Below are 25,592 nucleotides of genomic sequence, written 5' to 3'. Positions count from 1 at the left end.
AGAGGTTTTTCTTTTAAAAGACATCCTTTAATATTTGGGAAGCTAGTGCAATAGTACACATTGAGGCCCACATACCACATGCCAAATATTTAAAAGGCATATTTCTAGCTAACCACTGTACATACATATATTTTTTCTCTTATTTTCTTATTTTAGTTTTTTTCCTTGACAACAATTTATGTCCACACATATCTTCTATCATCCCACTTTGACAAGTAATATTATACCTTCAAAATGATGTGGAAGACTAGATTGGAATTTAGAACCGTAGAACCTTGTAATTGTTGGGCCCTTCTGGAGAACACGACAGAGAAGTTATCTACTGTCTTTGCCCCCAGGGCCCAGGCGACACTTTTACCCTCCATTGTTTCTGAAGTTAAGGGGAGGAGACAATGTTTTGTTTAGTGACCTCGACAGAAAAAGTGTCCTCCTGCAACCACTCATTTGTTACTTTCCTTCTTCCTGAATTGCCTGGACCCACTCCTCCTCCATTTGACTGGCTCTGTGCACTGATGTTATAGTCAGGAGATTTTTGGGAATTGTGGCTTCTAAAAATGTACACCCGACTCTACCCATAGCTGGCCCTGTGAACCTACACACCTGCTCCACTGTGTCTCCTTCTCAAAGAGACACTCTTCCTGCTGAGGCTCTGCCCTCTGCTCCTAGATCCAAATGGCATCTCCTACCCTATCCCTGTATGGCTTAACCTAGGGAAACTCTTTCCCAGAGGAGTCAGGTAAGGAGACGGTGGCTGAGCTTCTTACAGACTTAAAGGAGACATCCTGGAATTTAGGAGTCCGTCCTTCCTTTCTGTAATCCCTGGCAGCTCCTGCTGCTGCTCAAAGTTTAGCTTTGTCTCTCATCCAGCTCAGACTGTTGCTGGTCCTGATGGCCTCTGCTTAGCTGTATTAGTACGTTCTTGCATTGCTATAAAGAAATACATGAGAAATACCCTTAGTTGGCTCACGGTTCCATAGGCTATACAGGAAGCATGGTGGTTTCTGCTTCCGGGGAGGCCTCAGGAAACTTTTACTCAAGGTGCAGGGCAAAAAAAAAAAAAAAAAAAAAAAAAGCTACCAGCACTGCACTGTGAGGCCCTGATACCTGAGCTAACTTCATATTATTACCTCTACAGCAAGTGTCCGTGAGAACATAGATATATTTCTTATGTGAGTACACAATTTACAGAAGAGGAACTACCCTTCCAAACCAAAACAAAATGTCAAAATTTTAATTTACCAGCAAACCTAGGTTGCTTCTGTGAAATGATCTCATTTGCTGAGTTTTAAAATTGACTAAATTTCCCAATTTCCAAATGAAAATATTTAGTTATCTTGTCTTGCTATGTGTTTTTGGTTAATATGATGATTAATTTTTGGTCTATTACTTAACATATTCCATGATTGTTGATATGGATTATAAGGACTCACAAAATAGTTTTCAGATGTCTTTAATTTTTTTACTTAGTGTAGATCCTATAAATGGATTAGGAGTATTCTATTAACTCCCATGTATTCAGAAATCGAATTGGAGTGGTAAATTCTGTTTGAAGTAACAAGGGATATCAAAGGAAAAAAATAATTTTGTGACTATGTCTTCTATACGTGAATTTTTCAGGCATCCTTATCAATGGCTTATACTAAAGACATTTTCTGGATCATGGGTGACACACAGAAGACATGCGGATAAGTGGCATTGTGTACACTACTGCATTTTATCATCTGGTTCATTTTTAAACTTTTATTTCTCTTACAGATGTTTTATTAACCGGTGCATCACCAGGTTAACAGTCTCTGGAACACTAAACTTACCAGAAAATACTTGTTGATTCAATTAACAAGAAAACAACATTAGAAAACAGTGGTGGCTTGTTTTTGTCTGTTGCAGTATCTTGGAGAGTAAAGCCTAACTCTTTAATTTTGGCCAAAGATATAAAGAAATACCTGAGAAACACCTTTAGTTGGCTCATGGTTCCGTAGGCTATACAGGAAGCATGGTGGTTTCTGCTTCTGGGGAGTCCTCCAACACTTACTGGCAGGGTAATTTTGAAGAAGTCATAATAAGATGGTTGTTACAATTAAATGAAATAATCAAAGTGGAAGAGCTTAGTTAGCTGTCTTCCCTAAATGAATCACTGGCAAGTAAGAGTGTGATTGATTTTCCTACCAGTCAGGACTCACCCCTTGAAGCTATAGGAGGGTAAACCTCTGAAGACCATACAATTTAGGGAACACTAACACCTCAAAAAACTCTGTAAACTTCCTTCCTTCCTTTTCTTCCTTCCTTCCTTTCTTCCTTCCTTCCTCCTTCCCTCCCTCTCTCTTTCTTTCTTTTCTTTCTTTGTTCATTTTTGAGACAGAGTCTTGCTCTGTCATTCAGGCTAGAGTGTAGTGGCTGGATTACGGCTCACTGCCGCCTTGACCTCCTGGGCTCAAGCAATCCTCTCACCTCAGCCTCCCTAGTAGCAGGGACTATTGGCATGCTCAGCTAATTTTTTCCTCCTTTTCTTTTTGTAGAGGCAGGGTCTCATCATGTTGCCCAGGCTGGTCTTGGATTCTTTGGATCAAGCAATCCTGCTGCCTCAGCCTCCCAAAGTGCTGGATTACAAGCATGAGCCACTGTGCCCAGCCTTAAGTTTTTTCATACAGGAGGAAAGAATTTGGGAAAGTAGGCGTGTGTGTGTGTGTTGGTTAGGGAGCCAACACATTTTTCTGCAAAGCTTGAATTCTGTGCCTCAATTTTTCATTTTTGTTACGTGCAAAATAAAATCGTATCCTGCTATAGATTTAAACCTGTGAGCAGATCCTACTCAAAACCTGATTCAAACTTTGTGTAGATCTTTGTCTCTCTATGGCATAAGAATAAATTCTTCTGGTTTTCTTCCCTCAGAAAAATGGACTTAGACTTCCCACAAGCCTTCCAGAAAGAACTCACCTGCCTCATCTGCCTGAATTACCTCACAGACCCCATCACTATAGGCTGCGGGCACAGTTTCTGTAGGCCCTGCCTCTGTCTTTGCTGGGAAGAAGCACACACTCCTGCCCTGCGTGCAGGGAACTGTCACAGCAGGAAGATTTCAACCAATATTCTTCTGAAGAATCTAGTGTCCATTGCCAGAAAAGCCAGTCTCTGGCAATTCCTGAGCTCTAATGAACAAATGTGCGGTATCCACAGGGAGACAAAGATGTTCTGTGATGTGGGCAAGAGCCTGCTCTGTTTTCTGTGTTCTAACTCTCAGGAACACTGGGGCACAGAAACACTGGCTCACTGAAGGGGCAGCTAAGGAACACTGTGTAAGTGATGACTCAGAGCACTTTGAAAGCTGGAGGGCAGCACAGGTAAAGAGATTAGGAGGAAGATGAAGAGCATGAGGATTAATCTATTCTTTACTGAGTGTCATGTACTGCCTAGGTATCAGTGATATAACTATTATCCTGCTATCAAATCTACTGATAAGTGGCTTACTTAACTTATATGCACTCACCACAATGCAAGAAATCCTCTGACTGCTCCTACCATCATGGCCCCTAGCCATGACATGACTTGTCTCCACACTAGCAGAAACTAATCGAGTCCCTATATTAGGGATAAGTGGCATTTATATATATATATAATTTTTATATGATATATAAAACATATTTATACAATATATATTATATACATATATACATACATATATATATTATATACATATATACATACATATATATACATACATATATATATGTGTGTATGTATATATATATATATATATATATATATATATATATATATATATATCACAATGCCAAAAATGTTTTGTCTTCGAAATAATCACAGTGCATTTGGAGAGACAAATGCATCTACAACCAGGCGACAACACTGAAAATAAAATTGTAGCAGTTTGAATAGGGGATTAAATGAGTTAATTTTTTCCTGGGGTTCAAAAAAAGAAACAGCAGCAAAAAATGGTACTTAAGATTGAAAGTTGGCCGGGTGCAGCTGCTCATGCCTGTAATCTCAACACTTTGGGAGGCCAAGGTGGGCGGATAACCTGAGGTCAGGATTTCGAGACCAGCCTGGCCAACATGGCGAAACAACGTCATTACTAAAAATACAAAAATTAGCTGGGCATGGTGGCAGGTGCCTGTAATCCCAGCTACTCGGGAGGCTGAGGCAGGAGAATCTCTTGAACCCAGGAGGCAGAGGTTGCAGTGAGCCAAGATCACGCCATTGCACTGCAGCCTGGGTGACAAAAGCAAAACTCCATCTCAAAAAAAAAAAAAAAAAAAAGAAAGAAAGTTCTGGGTTATGACACAGAACATATGCAACATGAATATGTCATGGTTATGAACATGTAGACTACTCAAGATTGTGTATTTTTAAAATAATAGAATACTAGGTTAAAAAATTAGCATCACAGAATGAAAAATAAGCCACAAATTAGCAGAAGATAATTGTAACACATAAAAACAAAGGATTAAATACAATGGTAATGTAATGATAGCTATTCTTACAAAGTTGTTTCTATGTCTCAGGTACTATTCTGAACAACATACGTGCATCTTGATTGCGTGAAGAATTCCTATATAAGAAAAACACAAACAACAACATTTAAAATGAGCAAAAAACCCGAATAGGAATTTCACGGAAGAGAAAACATAAATGGCCCATAAACATAATAAAAGATGCTCAACTACAATTCTAATCAGGGAAATAAACATTAAAACCCCAAAGAGATACCACTTCATACTCTAGGAAAAACCTAAAAGGCTGTGAATATCTAGTTTCATTGAGGAAGAGCAATGGGAAGACTATTCACTGCTGGTGAGGGTGTAGATTGGTACAACTGCTTTGGAGAACAGTATGATGCCACTCAATAGAGCTGAACACACACATGCCCAATGACCAAGCAATTCCACTCCAGGTACATACTGTAAAAATACTCCTGCACATGTAGAATAGGAGACACTGCATAACAAAGTTCACTACAACATGAGGCCGAGGTGGGAAGATGGCTTGAGACCAGGAGTTTGAGGCTGCACCAGTAGCTGGGACTATAAGCATGTGTCACCGTGCCTGGCTAATTTTTTGCTGTTGTGGTTGTTGTTAGAGATGAGGTCTTCCTTTATTGAACAAGCTGGTCTCCAAATCCTGGCTTCAAGTGATCTTCCCACTTCTGCCTCCCAAAGTGCTGGGATTACAGGTGTGAGCCACCATGCCCAGCCAAGTTCTGCTTCTTAACCTGAGGTAGATACTTTGATGTTTCATTTTCCTTTATTGTACAGATATACTTTATATTCTCATATGTGACACAAGTCAAAATTTAAAAAAACAATTTAACATTTATTCCCTTTAGATGAATGATGGGCAAATTTACATAATGAATTCATTACTGAAACAATGTATAGATTTCAGACTAGGAAAGTAACTATTTATAAAAGAAAAGCTTAAAACCTGAAACAGAAACAAAATCCTGAAACTGTAAAATTGAGTCAAACTAAAATTTAAAAAACAAAGCAATGATATAAAGTATCATTTGTCCAAATGTGTTCTACAAAATGCTTTTTTCTTAAATATGTCTGAGGAAAAACAGGTTCTAGGAGTAAAATATGTTTGAAAAATGCTGGGTTAAACAACTGAACCTATGAAGGAAGGAACAGAACTTCTCAAGCTCTTGACTCTGGAATCTTTTTTACACGGCAATTAACACCATGCTTCTTCTTGGATTTGTATTTCAGATAAACACAATCTGGGAAACATTTTATAATACAGAGGGCCACACCAGATTGAATATTGCCCCCAGGAATGAAATGAAAACAGGAATGCATTCTCCAGTAAGAGGTACCCAGATATCCTAATCTTCAGTAGCTGACCTAAACCCTGGACAAGTGGGATCAAACCCCATAACCAAATACAACTTTTTAGGAACTAAGTGGATAATCACTCTGTGTTGTATGAACATGTGGGCAGTGTGTTTCCTACACAGCTTAAAAGTGCAACAAAAAAAGATCTAGGTGTCATATAGAGAATTTCTACCACAGTTAGGGTAATGGTGGACTGACAGGCAGAGGGTCTTAGATGTGACTTAAGTAAAGTTCAATAGAAGCTTCCAGCACAGATATTCATGTTTCGAATTGGACCGCTCAGTTAAAAAGTTTTCCCATTAGACTTCCCCTAATCAAATTAGAAATTATCTAATTTTCTAATAAAGTTTTCCCCAGGCACAAGGAATCTGTGAACTGGACCTAAAAAATTCTTCATAATGTGCTTTTATTACCATAAAAGATGCACATTTATTTTAAAAACTTCTCTACACCACTATCATAAACCTTTGCACACACTTGTTTCTTTTGGAAGCTAACTTCTGAGTGGTAATGAAATATATTCTTAAGAAAAAAGTCCGACACAATGCCTTTGCGTCTTAAAATATGTTAAAATATTATTTGAAAAGAGTCAAACATCTGTCTTTTCAGGGTATCACAGGGCGTCAAACTGGAAAATGTGGCACTGCCAGGAGTTTCTACCTGGTGAAGGGTGGCAGACTTTTCTCTTCAGAGGGCTCTTGACAGGGTAGCATCCATTATCTTGCCAATTTACCACAACCTAGGCCCAATCCTCAGTCTTATAGGTTCAGAAATTTAATTTTATCAGCATCAGTAGGGTAGCTACATTGCTTAGAAGCAAACAAAATTAACCATGCTTCAATAGAAATCAGCATATAGATGTATTAATACAGAATGACAAATATAACTGTGACAGAAATAGCAATGCCTGTTTATGGTCATATACGGCCAATACTTTCATTACAGCCAAACTCATACATGCAGACAAATAAGAGGCCCCTGGATACACAGGGAATCAGAATAAAAAAAGAAGAACTGAACATTTAATAGTCTTCTTTCATTCAATCAATAATTTTTTTTAGTTAAGCAACTACTATGTCCAGGTAACCTTCTAGGTCCTGGGGATACAGAGGTCTCTGCTTACAGAAGTCATATGTAAGTAGCAGGTGAAGAGTATGTGTTTCACAGAAGTTTATTACAATATATTAACAAGAGCAAAAAATTTTGGAAGCAATCTAAATGTTCAATAATAGAGCTCCAATTAAATAATAAATCCAAATAATGAAAAATAATGCAGCCCTTTAAGAATAAGCACTTGCAAGCCGTAATTCATGACATGGGAAAATTATCATAACGGAAAAAGAAGCAAGCTATATATAGTGCATGATCCTATACACACACATACACACATACATATTTCCTATCCCTTTATATGCATAAGAAAACAAGCGGGAGGAAAGTCATATCTTTAGTCAAATCTTGTTTACTAATGTACTATTAATGATTATCTTTTCTTTTTCTTTATACCTTTTTGCATTTTTCAATTTCCTAAAATAGCCTTACATGCCTTTTATCACCAGGAGAAAAATTACTTCTAAAGTAATTTCAGTCAACATGCATACTAAGAACTCTTCAGATTTATCTGTTAGAAGCTGTGCATGAATGCCAGTCCTTGCATCTGTCTTGGAACTCACAGAGAGCTCTTTTCCCATGGCTTTAAGCAATACTCAAAAAGACTAGCATACCTGAATTTCCTAGTCCTATGTTTTTTTCATCCAACAGCCAGTCTTGTATTTCTAGCTGTTTTCTAAACATTTCAACCAAACCATTTTACAGATAACTCATACAGTCATCCTTTGATATGCATGGGGAATTGGTTCCAGGATCCCCCTTGTATGCCAAAATCCATGGATGCTCAAGTTACTGGTATAAAATAGTGTAGTATTTGCATATAACCTACACACATCCTCCTATATACTTTAAATCATCTCTAGATTACTTAATAACAATTAATACGATGTAAATGCTATGTAAATAGTTGGTATACCATGTTGTTTTTTATTTGTATCATTTTTTATCACTGTATTGTTTTTTCTGACAATTTTGTTCCACAGTTGTTTGAATCAGTGGATGCAGAACCCATGAATATGGAGAGTCAATTGCATTTTATTATGCCCAAAGGTAAATGCATAATTTTTCCGCACAGCTAATCTTCTAGCAACCCCATTGCTGTCCATGGCAAACAGGCTTAGTTAATCTCGCCCTTTCCCGTTTCAGGTTCATTAAAAAACTCTTGTCAAAATCTCTTTCATCCCACCTTATTCTTCATTCTCACTTCCATCAGCATATCAGTCCAGGCCCTAGTAACATTAATGTTACTAATGGCACTGTTAGTAACATTACTTACCAGCATTCAAGTGGGTCTTCCTGATGCCATTCTCTCCCATCCTGAAATCACTGCTCTTTATATAGAACTTGTATGATGTCATTCATTGGATCAAAAACTATTAAAGCCTTCCTTTTTCTACCACCCCAATCTAAATTTCTATGCCTGGCTTTTATTAAAACCCAGAATTTGGCCCCACCCTAGCTATTTAACTTTATTTTCCACTATTCACCAGTCTCCTCCCTCATCAACGAGAAGACATACCATAATCAACCTCACCACTAACGCTTGGAATATCTAAACTTAAAAATGGTCCTTCCTTTCCCCTTTACTTGTGTTTAAAGAACCTGACGAATTATTCCTCCTCTGCTAAACTTTTCACAATTTCTTCAACCTCATTTATGTTTCAGATTTTCAGAACATATCTTGCCGTTTATTAGGAATCTCACAATTAGGCACTCTCATGTAGATAGATTTACAATCATGTATGTTGTCATCTTCTATTAAATTCCATACTCCTTGAAGGCAGGAGCCATGCCTTATTCTGTCCCCCAGAGTACTCAGAATGATGCAGAGCACACAGAAAGTACTCAAATCTTGTTGACTGATCCAGTGAGAAATGACCAACTTCAGTTCCAGCCTCTCTTTAATATGTACATAGCAATTTGGGCAAGTCAAGCTCCATCCTGAAGGACATAATAGGGGACTCTTTAAGCACATTATTATGAAGGCCCTTCAGGGATAACACCAGAGTGATGAGGTGCCCTATACCAGGGATAATGGAGACAGAGTTCTTGGGATTCATCACTGGGGTCCTCAAAGCATCTTCCAAGGGCATAATAAGGAAGGACTCAAACACCTTTGAATCTCCGTGAGACCAGGCATGAGGTCTTTTGAAAGAGTTCTTTAACTGGAGTGAATGTCAAAGAGAAGTATAATAAAATAAAAGACCTGAGTAGGGTCCCCCTTGTTCATAAAATGACACTACCTAAATCACCAAATCTCACTGAGCCTTGGTTTAACTCAAGAGGTTCCATGCCACTATAAGAGGTGGTAACTGCCAACTGATAGGAAATATTTTCATATGCATAGTCACAGTGCCCCATATTTATGAACTTCTTAAGAGTCTTCAAAAAGCTTTCTATATACATTATCCTTTACTTTCTAACTTTTCTAAATACAAGGTGAGAGAGACACAAGTGTTCTATCAAAACAGAATCTTGGCCGGGCACAGTGACTCACGCCAGTAATCCCAGTACTTTGGGAGGCAGAAGCGGGTGGCTCACTTGAGGTCAGGAGTTCGAGACCAACATGGCCAACATGGCAAAACTCCATCTCTACTAAAAATACAAAAAATTAGCCAGGTATGGTGGCAGGTGCCTGTAATTCCAGCTACTCGGGAGGCTGAGGTAGGAGAATTTCTTGAACCCAGGAGGCAGAGCTTGCAGTGAGCAGAGATCACACCACTGCACTCCAGTCGGGGCAACAAGAGCAAAACTTCATCTCAACATAAAAAAAAAAACAAAACATAAAGACTTTTGCAAGGACCATGTCCCACCCAGAATGGTGCCTGCCTTTCTACAGTTTTTCAGGAAGAGGAAACATTTTCTGCTTCTCTTGCTGAGGTTTTTTTTAACCACCCATTAGGAACGTAGAGATTTCAGGATCGAACACTGGGATTCCCTCAGCACTAAAGGAGGAAAATTGCAAACAGAGCTGAAAGTGCAATGTGGAAAGGTCAGGCTGAGGAAGGTTCTTAGCCAGCAGACCAAGGGCAGAAAGGACACTGCCTCCTCAGTCTCCCACTAGGGAACTTGTGATTCTTGTCCCCTGACCTCAGAATTCCTTGTTATGTTTGTTTTGTCTCCAAGGGAAGGGTTTGAATTACAGAATTTAAGGCTAGAGTGGGCCTCCTGCAGTTAACATTAACCCTCTCTCTCCTTCACTGGCCGAGCTGAAGTCTGGGACCATGTAGTTCTGACGTCCGCTCTCTCGGGGGATCACCAGTTCACCCACCTCACCCGGCAAGCTGGGCCCTAGTTTGGCAACAGGCATCTTCCACCCACCTGGGAGGCAGGGTTCAACACTCTGCCTCTGACCTTTTTTCCTTCCTCTGCCACCGGCTTAGGCAGCCAGAAGGGGTTGTCCAGCCAGCACCCGGGCTTTGGTGCTCCTCAAGCAGGTGGGGGAAGTTTCAGGCACCTGGCTCCTCAGGTGTCTGCCATCCAGCTGCTCTTCAGGCCTGCCCAGCAGAGCTCTCTTGACCCAGCTAGAACTGGCCAGAACTGACTCACTCAGGAATGTGTAGACTTTGGCATCAGGGGCTGCTTTAATTTGCACAATTTCCAAATACCTCTTTTTTCTTCTTTTTCTGATGAGTCATCTCCCTAGACTTCCATTTTAAAGAGATAGATAGTTATCAGGTTCCAGAGAAGACATGGTAGAACATTTATATCTCAAAGACACAGAGCTGAGACTTCAGGTTTAGATACTATAATTTGCCTAAACCAAAAAGGAAGGTGTAGGTAAAGTTCTAGTCAAGACAGGATGGCCAGGAAAAACACCTTAAACCAAGGGATGGCTTGCTTTGCTGATTTAAGCCAATGGCTTCTTTATCATAAGACTTCCCAGTGATTTAGTCCTCCCTCTCTTCCAGTGCACAGAGACATACCCCTCCTTACGAATAAAAATGTTCTTTATAGATGTAAATTTATTTTACAAAAATGTTTCAAAATAACCAGATCAAAATCATCCTTATGCCAGAAAGACTTTTTTTTTTATTACTAGAAATGAAACAGTAAGTATTTGTTGTATTGACATACTTAGGCTTAGACCTATGTTTAACAAGAAAGCCTAATAATAGCACTGTGGTTAGACTGTAGCCTATTTTTCCAAACCATCATTTTATTATTAAGGAAAGAAAGGATCAAATACCTTTCATTCATCTGATATGATCCTTTAAAACACATTCCACTAATAAGTCCCATTTGGAACAGCTGAAAATCTTTTAACAAAACTTTTTAAAGATGAGCTCATGGCTTAGTGTAAATTTCACAAGCTTAATTAGGTCAAATGGAAGGAACTCAGATGAGTAGTTGCCCAATCAGAGCCCATTATTTGTAAGTCATCAGCCCCCTTCATGACCTTAAAACTCCACTCTGACCTAAATATTGCAAACCTATATACAACAAAGTGAAAGGTTTAATTTTCATTCATCAACCTCTCAATCCCAGATTTTCAAAGAAAAAACCTATGTAAGGAATACTTACCAAAACCAGACAGGAAAATTAGAGCCTGCATACTTAAGAGTCAAATTTGTTCCACTACAGCCAGGTCACATACAATTACATGATTTGGTTCTTCATACACTCTGGAACTGACCAGGACAGAGTTTAGCATAGAAAAACTGTAAGAAATAGGTTCCAAAACATAGAAATTGCAAAGTCCAAAAGGCTATGAAAAAAACTAATGTAAATGAGAGACTCCCCTCCCTTTGTTTTAAAGAAATAGACCCATCAGAGAAATGCAAATCAAAACCACAATGAGATACCATCTCACACCAGTTAGAATGGTGATCATTAAAAAGTCAGGAAACAACAGGTGATGGAGAGGATGTGGAGAAATAGGAACACTTTCACACTGTTGGTGGGACCGTAAACTAGTTCAACCATTGTGGAAGTCAGTGTGGCCATTCCTCAGGGATCTAGAACTAGAAATACCATTTGACCCAGCCATCCCACTACTGGGTATATACCCAAAGGATTATAAATCACGCTGCTATAAAGACACATGCACACGTATGTTTATTGCGGCACTATTCACAATAGCAAAGACTTGGAACCAACCCAAATGTTCAAAAATGATAGACTGGATTAAGAAAATGTGGCACATATACACCATGGAATACTATGCGTCCATAAAAAATGATGAGTTCATGTCCTTTCTAGGGACATGGATGAAGCTGGAAACCATCATTCTCAGCAAACTATCGCAAGGACAAAAAACCAAACACCGCATGTTCTCACTCATAGGTGGGAATTGAACAATGAGAACACTTGGACACAGGAAGGGGAACATCACACACCAGGGCCTGTTGTGGGGTGGGGGGAGGGGGGAGAGATAGCATTAGGAGATATGCCTAATATAAATGATGAGTTAATGGGTGCAGCACACCAACATGGCACATGTATACATATGCAACAAACCTGCACATTGTTCATGTGTACCCTAGAATTTAAAGTATAAAAAATATATATAAAAAATAAAAAAAGAAATAGATGTCCTGTAAAAATATACACAATTTTTACAGACAAATACATTTATAAGTTGTTTTTATCTTAAAAATTGGGGATATTTCATATTTATAACTAATTATTGAGCCTTAAGTTTTCTTGGCCATTTCTAGGCTAATAAACTAAGAATCATGTAAACTAAGCCAAAGTAGAATAGACATAAAAGTCCTGAACACTTCAACTTCCTATCCTTCAAGAAGTATACCTTGCAAAGCTCATTTGAGAGAGGAAAAGCTTTCCTCCACCCTCGGTTTTACAGTGCTGAGGCTTCTCATCACATTTCTATGACTTGTAGCTTAAATCCATGTTACATGGTCACTGGCATTGTTAGTGCTTCTCTTTTAACACTGTAGGAATTAATCAATTTGGTGGCATATTTAATTAATTCTATCACTAGGGGATTGTAAAATTACATATATGAATACCTCACTTTAGAGGCCACTTAATTTTTTTCCAAGGGGATATTTGACTATATTTCACTTGTGTCTTATTTAATGATTTTATAATTTAAACCCTAAATTATAAATCTAGAATTTAGAAAGTATATTTCCCCACTGGATTACATTTTTGGAAATATTATTTTATATGTGCACAAATATTACAAAATCACTGTAGACACCTGAAAACTATATTATCTTTTAAAGGCAATATTTACATTAAACTGGTATAACAAAATTATTTGGTGCATTTTTTCCAGTACATTTTGTGTATATTACATGTTTAACCCTTTTTTATTCAGCAAATAATTTTTGAGTATCTACTAAGTGCTAGGTTCTGCATTACTAACTGATTTTAAAGAGTGAAATAACAGACATGGTCTCAGACAATAAAAATTAACATTAGGTCACTTATTTATATATTTTTAAATGGTAATTATGAAAACTTTTTGAGATTTTTAACTAGATAACATTATAATAACGCACTTGATGTTGTTAATATTTGCCAGTGAGCAAAAAAGAAAATAAAAAGATGGTTTTATTCAATATACACTTTAAAATTGCAGAAAATAGTCAAGTTTCTCTGCTTTGCAGTTGAATGTCTATGTGTTTTTCTCTGCAACTTGGTTTTTGTGGAGTGAAACAATTATTCTTCCAGCCCAATGAAGGCAGAAGAGTAACAATAAATCTAATATTTTAAATGCTTATCAAAAGATAGTAAACACATTATTTCAGAATACTGAGTTCAGTAAGTTGACCTACAAAAAAAGCCAAACTGACAGTATTACTGAATAAGGAAAGGCCCAAAGAGACAAAATACTTTTTATTTTGTAACCTCGGTATGACACAACTTACCCTAACTATAAAGACCCTAAATTGCCAAGATGGGTGCTTATAATATGGAGAGTTAAAAAAAGTCACTTCACTTTTAGCTTTTTTATTTCTCTCAGAATAAAAAGTGTATAAGGAGTTGATAAAGAAGTTGATACTATAAGTTAGTACTACAATGACAGCACTTTTCAAGAAAAGAGTTTTTTCTCTCTTACAAATATCATGTTAGCAATATTTGTTTTCTCCAGAAATAATGAGGAAATAAAAACATAAGTATGTGGGTAATTAGTGTAGTTTCTTAAAGAAATGAGTTAGGCAACAGGCTAATAATGTATATTTCGCTGGCTTTTGAATGCCAACAATCATATTCTTTATAAGGCACAGAGAAGATTTTTCTAAAGAATATGTGAACCTGAAAAGTAATCACCACTTGGTAGTGACAATATGGATAGGGTGAAGGGCGTCACCAAGAAGCAATGAAAAGATACATTTGCAGTTAAATTCGAAAACCATGATGTTTAATACATATAGTAATAAAGAATACTTTCTCCTGTTTCAAAATTATTTTAGAATTTAAGATAGAAGCTAAAATACCTAGGGATAATGATATGACTATCAAAAATTAAAAATTAAAGGACATTTTGAGTATTATAAATTAAGAATGAGAACTTATTACCCAATGAACAGGGGATAATTCATTATGCTCCATATCCATTGAATTAAAAGACAGGCCCATTACCTGGATAATTTGAAAGTTTAATTTTATTTAAAAGTCTTGTTTCATTCATCAAGCTAAAGGATTAGCTCCCAGAAATATTCTAGGATTGCCTATCCCCAACTCTGTAGGAAGTATAGAAAGAATGTTATAAGGGCCACCATCTAAACATTATTATGTAAATAATTTAGTACCATTCCATTTGCCTTTGTAGATTTAAAAATGTAAATGGCTTTCTCATATAAGGAAACATCACTTTTCAAAACCCAGGTAAACATAGTATATTGCAAGAGAATAATTATTTTCTTTATTAAAAAAGAAATACTGGATGCTAAGTCCAAAAGACATAAATTATTTTATACTAATAACTACTAATATTTTATTCATTAAAATATAAAGGTCAAAGACTTCAAAATGATCTTTAAATGATTAATAACATGTTGATCTTTTTCTTCTTTCTGTAAACCTTTTTGAGTCTTAACAATACTAAACTATACAAGCAATATTAAATAGTATATAAACTTGGATTAAAATATTCAAATTTACTAGAATGTGGACATCGGAAAGAATGAAAATAAACAGAAGCATAAAGCAGCAGATATAAAATTAAGAAAGCAACTAAGAGTGTTTAAAGTGCATATTCATCTGTAGTCTAATGTCTACCATAAACAATGACTCTTCTCAGTAAAACACAAATTGTTCATGAAGGGAAAAAGCATGTTGTATTAGAGCATATTCAACATAATTTTTTTAGTACTAACTTGTGCCTGGAGTATTATTGGTTTTTCTATTATGAACTTATGCACTTGATCATTTTTTTCATCAAAATTGTATGTACAACTCCATTCAAAAGCAGCTTTTGGTCGTTTTTTTTTTTTTTTTTTTTTTTTTTTTGAGACAGAGTTTTGCTCTTTTCACACAGGCTGGAGTGCAATGGTGCGAATTTGGCTCACAGCAACCTAGCAACTTTTGCCTCCCAGGTTCAGGTGATTCTCTTGCCTCAGCCTCTCGAGTGGTTAGGACTACAAGCATGCACCACCATGCCTGGCTAATTTTGTGTTTTTAGTAGAGACATGGTTTTGCCATGTTGACCAGGCTGGTCTTGAACTCCTGACCTGAGGTAATCCGCCCACCTTGGCCTCCCAAAGTGCTGGGTATGGGCAAGAGCCACCATACCTGGCCTCAAAAGCAGTTTTTAAAAGCAAACACAATATAACACCAAAGTTGAAAAATCCATGCTCACCCAAGGATGCCAGGTTTAATAAATTGTTGATAGAATACTACATCAAAAATAAGACAATAACCCAGAATATACCATTAAAGATGTACCCACTCCTACAACTAGAGATAACTAATCTATCTGGTAGCAAATGATACTTCAATCAGTTTCAGCATGTCTGAAATCTTTAAGGTCAAAAGTGATAAAACATGACTTCATTCTTCATTAGACTCTTAGAACACTTGAAGGAAAATAATTTCTGAAGCACGAAGAGGTAAAGAGGTGTAATCTTTCAAGAAGATATTCAGTGTTCAAAATCCAAGAGTGCAATATCATGCTGGGTGCGGTGGCTTATGCCTGTAATCCCAGCACTTTGGGAGGCCATGGTGGGTGGATCACCTGAGGTCAGGAGTTCGAGTCCAGCCTGGACAACAGGGTGAAACTCTGACTGTACTAAAAATACAAAAATTAGCCAGGCATGGTGGTGTGCACCTGTAGTCCTAGCTACTTGGGGGGCTGAGACAGGAGAATCGCTTGAACCTGGGAGGTGGAGGTTGCAGTGAACCGAGATCATGCCACCTCACTCCAGCATCAGTAACAGAATGAGATTCCACCTCAAAGAAAGAAAAGAGTGTAATATCGGTATACACAGATAATATACTGAATGAAACAAATAGAATAATTTGAAGAGGTATCTTGATGAACAAGGAGTCATTAGAGAGGTTGTATTTATGCCTTTGAAGGAAATTGCAATGTGAGAAATTAATACTTTGACTACTATACTAAAAGTTTATTGCTAACATGTATTGAGCTATTAACGTGTGTTAGGCAGAGTACCATATAACTTACAAGTGTTATCTCATTTATTGTAGGTAAAATGTAATTTCAAACTCTGGGAGTATAAATGAACTAGATAGAATAAAATTCTATTTAAATGGCCATCAGTAAATCGGTATCTAGGAACAGGGTGATACAGTGCCCAAGTTTTCTATTCTTACTAAATGTTGTGTTTCATTTTCAGTGCTTTCTTGGATATTGCTCTTTTTTGGTGATTTTGATTTTTTTTATTTTAGAAAACTAATAAATTGATTCTTCTTGGTACTGACTCAGGTTTTATAGAAGAAAAAGTAATTAAATTCTGTACATTTACCTTTACCTCATTTTTTCTCTTTTAAATTTACTTTAATTGACATATAATAAATGTACATGTTATGGGGTACAGAGTGATATTTTGATATATTTATGCAATGCGTAAAGATCAAGTCAGAGTCATTATCATATCCATTACCTAAATCATGTATTATTTCTTTGCAGTGAGAATATTCAAAATCTTTTATTTTAGTTATTTGAAAACACACAATAAATTCCCGTTAACTACAGTCACCCAACAGTGCTGTAGAGAACTAGAACTTCTTCCTTCTCTCCAGCTGTAATTTTGTATGTATTAACCACATTTTTCTTATACTCTTCTTTCTCCTACTCTTTCCAGGATATGGTAACCAAAACTCTACTATCTACCTCTACGAGATTAAAAATTTTAGCTTCCATACATAAGTGAGAACACATAGTTATGTGGTGTTTATATTTCTATGCCAGGCTTATTTCACCTAACATAATGCCGCCCACTTGCATTCTTGTTGCCACAAATAACAGGATTTTGTTCTTTATTATGACTAAATAATATTCCATTATATATGTATGTCACATTTCTTTATCCATTCATCTGTTGATGGACACTTTTGTTGATTCCACATCTTGGCTATTGTGAATAGTGCTGTAATAAACATGGGGGTGCAGGTAACTCTTTGATATACTGATTTTCTTTCCTTTGGATATATACTGAAAACCATATGATTAAATTAATAAACACAATAAAAGCGTTTGGCAAAATTAAATATTCTTACATGACAAAAAACTTCTCAACAATTTAGTATAGAAAATATATGCCTTAACACAAAGGACATAAAGGACAAATCTACAGCTAAGATCATACTGAGTGTGGAAAAGGTGAAAGATTTTACTGTGAACAAGAAAAAGATTTTACTGGAACAAGAAAAGGATGCCTATTCTCACCAATCATATTTCACATAGTGAAAGTCTTAGCCAGGACAATTAGGTGAGAGAAAGAAATAAAGGACATCTGAATTGGAAAGGAGACAGTCAAATTGTCCCTGTTTAAAGACAATGTGATCTTATACATGGAAAAAAATAAGACTCTACCAAAAGCTTCTTGGGGTGATACATGAAATTAATAAAGTTGCAGGATATAAATCAACATATAAAAATCAGTAGCATTTCTATATATTGATAGTAAACTAGCTGAAACAAGAAATTAAGAAAGCAATTCCTTTTAGAATAGCTACAAAAATGTACTTAGAAATAAATTTAACCAAGGAAGTAAAAGATTTCGACAACAAAAATGACAAACATTAATGAAAGAAATTAAAGAAAACATAAAAAAGGAAAGACATCCACTTTTATAGATTGAAATAATATTCTTAAAATGACCCACTATCCTATGTGATTTACAAATTTAGTACAATCACTAGCTTGTATTTTTAAAAGCACCTTTGCTGCATATTCTTAAGATATTCAATGACAATGCCTGGATTTAAGTTTGAGGTATTATTATATCTATTTTATACTGGGCACAATATAATGTTATCAGAGATAATGGTTTTGATTGGTTCTAGGTCATACAGTAATATATACATTGTGATTTATAGACATGCTATCTTTTAATACTCAGACATTTAGAAAGTTCATTTAGACAAAGTTATAAAAACTTGCCTTCCTTTCTGCCTATATCACCTAAAAATCCTAATTTAAGAGGTAATAACACTTTTTATTTGATATACAATTTATCAACACAATAAAAATCTAACAATTATCATGTGCAGAGTGTGAAAATCTCATCAGATTAAGGAACACAAAGACATCTTTCTCCTATTTTGAATGTAAAACTGTTTTGGAAACTTATTTTCAGAAACAGTTAAAAACATTTTTTCATTAGTTTTTCATGTAAAATTGTGACAACCAGCATGAAATAACTGTCATCACAGAAGCATGGTATATTCGATTCCGAAACATATTCTTTGTAAGTTTTAATATATTTATGTATTATTTATACTTAATTGTAACCCATAATGTACAGATATTATTTTTCCTTCAACTCTTAAGAATATTCTTAAATAATAAAATTAAAATTAATGAATTATAATTTTTGTTGGTTGGGAAAAAGACACACACGTGACAGTGCATCACTTCACCTCATCATTTCATTTCATCTCATCATTTCATCTCATCATTTTATCTCATCATTTCATCTTATCCCATCTCATCTCATCATTTCATATCGTCTCATCATTTCATCTCATCATTTCATCAAATCTCATCTCATCTCATTTCCATTTCATTCTCATTATTTCATTTCATCATTTCATTTCACTATTTCATTTCATTTCATCTAACTTCATTTATTTCATTATGTCATTTCATATCATCTCATTTCATTTCATGTCGTTTTTGATATCATTTTTCATATCATTTTTCATCTCATCATCTCAGTTCATTTCATCTCATCATTTCATCTCATCTCATCATTTCCTCCTTTCTTTTCAACATTTCATCTCATTTCTTCTCATCTCATTTCAATTTTATTTCATTATTTCATCTCATTTCATTATTTCACCTAATTTCATTATTTCATCTCATCCCATCTCATCTCAATTCGTCTCATCTCATTTCATCTCATCATTTCATCTCATCATTTTTCATCTCATCATTTAATCTCATTTCATTTCATTTCATCTCATCATTTCAGCTCATTTCATGTTACATCTCTTCATTTCATTTCAACATTTCATTTCATCTCATCATTTCATCCAATCTCATCTTTCAATTTCACTTCAATATTATCAATTCATTTCATTTCATTATTTCATTATTTCATTTCATTTCATCCCATCATTTCATCTCATTTTTCATCCCATCATTTTTCATCTCATCTCATCATTTCATCATTTCATCTCATTTCTTCTCATTTCATCTCATCATTTTATCTCATTTCATCTCATCTCATTTCAATTTCATTTCACTTCATTTCATTTCATCATTTTATCTCATCTCATCAAGTCATTTCTTCTCATCTCATCTCATTTCATCATTTCATCTCATCATTTCATCTCATTCTTTCATTTCATCTCATCGTTTCATCTCATTTCATCTCATCTCACCTCAGCATTTCATCATTTCATCTCATCATTTATTTCATCTCATTTTATCTCATTTCATCTCATATCTCCATTCAATTTCCTTTCATTATTTCATTTCATCTCATTCATTTCATCTCATTTCATTACATCTCATCATTTCCTCTCATCATTACATCTCATCTCATCATTTCATCTCATCATTCATCTCATCATTTCCATTTCATTTCCATTTCATTATTTCATTTCATCATTTAATTTCATCATCTCATTTAATTTCACCTCATTTCATTATTTCATTTCATTTTTTCATTTCATTATGTCATTTCATCTCATTACGTTTCATCTAATTTCATTTCACCTCATTTCATCTCATCATTTCATTTCATCTCATTTCATCTCTTTTCATCTCATTTCATCTCATCATCTCATCAACTCTTTTCATCTTATCTCATTTCATCATTTCATCTCATCTCGTATCTTCTCATCTCATTTCGATTTCATTATTTCATTTATTTCATGTCATCTCATCTCATCATTTCATCTCATCATTTCATCTCATCACATCTCATTTCATCATTTTATTTCATCATCTCATCATTTCATCTCATCTCATTTCAATTTTATTTCAATTTCATTTCATTATTTCATTTCATTTCATCAGTTCATCTCACCATTTCATTTCATCATCTCATCTCATCATTTCATCATTCATCTCATCATTTCATCTCATCATTCATCTCATCATTTCATATCATCATTTTATCTCATTTCATCTCATTTCATCTCATCTCATTCCATCATTACATCTCATTTCATCTCATTTTATGTCATCATTTCATGTCATCATTTCATCACATCTCATCTCATTTCATCTCATCATTTCATCATTTCATCTCATTTCAACTCATTGCATCTCATCTCATCATTTCCATTATTCCATTTCATCATTTCATTCATTATGTCATTTCATCTCATCATATTTCATCTCATCTCATCATTTCATCTCATTTCATCTCATTTCATCTCATCATTTCATCTCATTTTATCTCATCTCATCATTTCATCATTTCATCTCATCATTTCTTCTCATCTCATCATTTCCATTTCATTTTCATTTCATTATGTTTCATCTCATTTCATTATTTCATTTCATTATGTCATTTCATTTCATCTCATTACATTTCATCTCATTTCATCTCATCATTTCATCCATCATTTCATTTCATTTCATCTCATGATTTTATCTCATCCAATCTCATTATCTCATTTCATCTCATTATTTCATCTCATTTTATCTCATCTCATTTCATCATTTCATTTCATCATTACATCTCATCATGTCAAATCATCTCATTTCAATTTCATTTCAATTTCATCATTACATTTCATAATTTCCTTTCATTACTTCATTTCATTTCATCTCATTTCATTATTTCATTTCATCTCATTTTTCATCTCATCATTTTTCATCTCATTTCATCTCATCATTTCATCTCATCGTTCATCTCATTTCATCTCATCATTTTATCTCATTATTTCACCTCATCTCATCTCATTTCAATTTCATTATTTCATATCATTTCATTATTTCATTTCATTTCATCTCATCATTTCATCTCATCATTTCATCCATCATCTCATCATTTCATCTCATTTTATCTCATCTCATCTCCTTTCAATTTCTTTTCAATTTTGTCATTTCGTCTCATCATTTCATCTCATTTCTACTCACCATTTCATCTCAAAATTTCATCTCATCATCTCATCTCATCTCATTTCATCATTTCATCTCATCATTTCATCTCATCTCAAGTCATCTTATCATTTCATCTAAGTGAAATGATGTAATGGAATCATGAAATGAAATGGATAGGATGCCCTCAGTGATGTTAAATTTAAAAATTGTTTCTTTTCATGTATGCATTTTTATATTTATATGTATTTATATTTATATTTACTTATATTTATTTTTACTTATTTTTATTTATATTTTTACTTATTTCTTTATTTATAGACAAGGTCCTGTTCTGTGGCCTAGGCTGGAATGCAGTGGTGCATTCACAGTTCACTGCAGCCTCGAGCAAACCTCCCACCTTAGCCTCCCAGGTAGCTGGGACCCCAGGTGCGCACCACCACACCTGGTTAATATTTTATTATTTGCAGAGATGGAGTCTTGCTATTCTGCCCAGGCTGGTCTCAAACTCCTGGGCTCAAGCAATCCTCCTGCATTGGCAACCCAAAATGCTGGGATGACAGATATGAGCCACAGTGCCCAAACTATTTATTTATTTATTTATTTATTTATTTATTTAACAAAGACAAGGTCTCACTATGTTGCCCAGGCTGATCAACTCCTGGACTCAAATGATTCTCCAAACTTGGCCTCTCAAAATGTTGGGATTACAGGTATGAGCCACCATGCCTGGCCTAAAAATAGTATTATATTTTTGTATCATATAATTTTCAATTAGGTAATATGAATATTCTGGACAGGAAATACACCCTTAATAACATAGGAATAAACATTTGTTACACTGAGAAAAATCTAATAGAGCTAAAATTAAAAATTAATTTGGAAAGGTCATTAGATACTGATACATTCTTACATTTATACATTCTTTCATATATTCATATATCCTTTTAACAGTATCAACGGTTTGGAGTTATGTGTACAAAACCATGACCTATATGTAATACAACCAATAACAGGCACTTACAATTCAAGGCATATTATATACAAAGCTTTAACTTCTTATCAAAATATTTTGTTTTCTTCTTTCTGTTTTGGCAGATACTATGAACACAACATTCAACTCACAGACACCATGGAGCTTTACTAAGCATAAAGTACTGTGAAAGGCCAGGGCTAGGACAGAACTGAGACAGGTCCAGGGATAGGACAGAACTGGGGCAGGGTCATGGCCAGAGAAAAACCAGGGGCAGGGTCACAGCCAGGGACATGAGAGGACCAAGGCCAGGGCCAGAAGCAGGGCAGAACCAGGGCCAGGGCAGGGACATGGCAGGGCCAGGGCCATGGCAGGATCAGGGTCAGCAGAAGGCCAGGGCAGGGCTAGGGTAGCACAGGGCCAAGGCAGGGCAGGGCCAGTGGAGAGCAAGGAACAGGCCAGGGTATGGCAGGGCAGGGACAGGGAGGTCCAGGGCCAGAGTCAGGTCCAGGACATGGACAGGGCAGGGCCAGAAACATGGCAGGACCAGAAAGGGGACAGGGCAAGGGCAAGGCCAGAGAAGGACCATGGAAAAAACATGGCCAGGGAGGGTCCAGGGCAAGGGCAAGGCCAGGGCAGAACCAGAGCCAGAGCAGGCCAAAGGCAGGGCCAGGGTAGGGTGGGGCCAGTGTAGGGTGAGGGTAGGGCCAGGGCGAGTTCAGGGCCAGGGCAGGACTAAGATAGCACAGGGCTAAGGCAGGGCCAGGGCAGGGCCAAAAGGAGGGGCCAGGGCCAAGCATGGCCAGTGTCAGACCTGGGGATTGTCAGGGCCAGGGTCAGGGTCAAGGCTGGGCCAGGGACAGGGCCAGAGCAAGGGCAGGGCCAGGGAGAAAGCAGAACCAGAGAGGATCCAGAGCAAGGCCAGGGTCAGGGCAGAACCAGGACCAGGATAAGGCAAAGCCAAGGCCAGGGTAGGGCAAGGCCAGGGCAGGGCAAGATCAGGGAAGGGCAAGGCCAGGGTAGAAAAGGCCAGGGTAGGGCCAGGCCAGGGTAGGAGAAGGCCATGGTAGGGCCAAGGCCAAGGCAGGGCAGGGCTAGGGTAGCACAGGGCATGGCCAAAAACAGAGCAGGGCCATAGCAGTGGCAGGACTAGCAACAGGGCTAGGGCAAGCGCTGGACCAGAGCATGGTGGGGACAATACAGGGCCAGGACAGAGGATGGCAAGGCAGGTCCAGGGCCATTTCATGGACTCAGTAGGCCTGGGGTCAGGCCAGGGCAGGGCAAAGGCAAGGCCAGGGAGAAGGCAGGGCCGGGGCCAAGGCAGTGCCAGGGCAGGGCAGGACCAGTGCAGGGCCAATGCAGGGTGAGGGCAAGGCCAGGGCACGGAAGGGCAGGGCAGGACCAAGGAAGGGCCAGGAGAGGGCCACGGCAGGGTCATGGCCAGAACAAGGGTATGGCTGGGGTCAGGAATATGGTAGGATGAGGGCTGGGCCCAGGCTGAGGCACGCAGGGCAGAGCATGGCCTGTGCGACGCATGGCCAGAGCCAGGCCATAGAGATGGGAGGGCAACACCAAGGCAGAGTCAGGGTAGATCCAGGGCTGAGCAGAGTCAGGGCAGGTCCAGAGTCGAGGCAGAGCTAGGGCCCAAGCAGGGCCATGGCAGCACCAGGGCAGAGGAGGGCAGGGCAATGCAGGACTGGGCCATGGCAGTGCCTGGTCAACTCCAGGGCAGGGCCAGAAGCAGGACAGGGCCAGGGCCAATGCTCAGGCCAGGGACAGGGCATGACAGGACGTGCCAGAGCAGGGCTGGGCCAACGTTGGGGCAGGGCAAATCAGACCAGGACACCTCCAAGTCCAGCTCTGGCCCTGCCTTGGCCCTGGCCCCTTCCTGGCCTGACCTTGTCCCTGGCCCTGCCCTATCCATGCCCTGTGTGTTTGACCAGTGTTTTATAACCAGAATCCTACAAGAAACTTAAATTAGTTCTTTTTGTGCATTTTTAGTAGGGATGGGGTTTCACAATGTTGCCCAGGCTGGTTCCAAACTCCTGAGCTCAAGCCATCTGCCTGCCTTGGCCTCCCAAAGTGCTGGGATTACAGGAGTAATCTGGCCAAGTATTTAACTTCTTTATGCCTGTTTCCTACATTTGGAAAATGGGGATGCTTTAAGTACCTAGCATATAGAATTATTATGAGAATCAATGCCTCACATATTTACATGTTGATAAAATTATACTCATAGGACACTACTGGAAGCAAAGATAATATTAGTTAAAATTTAGTGATTACTGCAAATATCATTACTATTACAAACAACATAGTATAGACATTACTACTACTATAGTTATCTTAAAAATCTAAAATAAAAATTTTACGTAATAGCCTAAAGTAATCTCTCCTGCTCTGCCCTGGCTCAGCCCTAGTGCCGGCTCTGCCCCTAGTCCTACTACATCCCTGGCCCTGACCCTTCCCTGGTCCAGCCACTGCCCTGGCCCTTCCCATCTTCAGGCCTTACCATGGCCCTACCCTGGTCCTGAACCTGCCCTGGTCTGGTCCTGACCCTGGCCCTACCCCAGAGAAGGGGTATGGCAGAGCCAGGGAAGGGCCGGGGCAAATAAGGGACAGGACACATCCAAATCCAGGAAAGGGCCAGGGCCATGACAGAGCCAGGGCGAGTCCTTGGCAGGGCCAGGTTCCAGGCCAGGACCAGGAAAGGGTCATGGCAGGGTCACTGTATGGCCAAGGTCCAGGCCAAAGCCAAGGCAGTGGCAGGGTCAGGTCTGCATAAGGGCAGGACCAGAGCCAGTGATACGGCAGGGCCAGGGCCAGGGCCAGGACTGTGTCAGGACAGAACCAGAGCAGAGCAGGGCAGGACCACAGCCAGGCCATAGAGAGAGTAGGGCAAATGCCAAGGCAATGCCAGGGTAGTGCCAGGGCTGAGGCAAGGTCAGGGAAGGTCCAGGGCTGAGTCGAGGCTAGAACCAAGACAGGGGCAAAGGCCGGGGCAGAT

The 25,592-nt window shown here is 37.9% G+C and overlaps 1 protein-coding gene across 1 annotated transcript in view; it reads right to left on the bottom strand.

The window, feature by feature from the left end:
- Window positions 1–7,860: 7,860 nt before the first annotated feature.
- Window positions 7,861–25,592, bottom strand: part of LOC107985915 (MAGE-like protein 2) — a 24,996-nt gene continuing 7,264 nt past the window's right edge. Inside the window, exon 5 of the mRNA XM_047446873.1 lies at window positions 7,861–8,897. The gene's annotated coding sequence lies outside the window, so the exon portion shown is untranslated. The remainder of the gene's footprint in view (window positions 8,898–25,592) is intronic.

The sequence above is a fragment of the Homo sapiens genome, chromosome 2, assembly GCF_000001405.40.
Source record: "Homo sapiens chromosome 2, GRCh38.p14 Primary Assembly".
Lineage (NCBI taxonomy): Eukaryota > Metazoa > Chordata > Mammalia > Primates > Hominidae > Homo > Homo sapiens.
The sequence above is the reverse complement of the archived record's forward strand: the minus strand, read 5'-3'. Positions and strand labels throughout refer to the sequence as shown.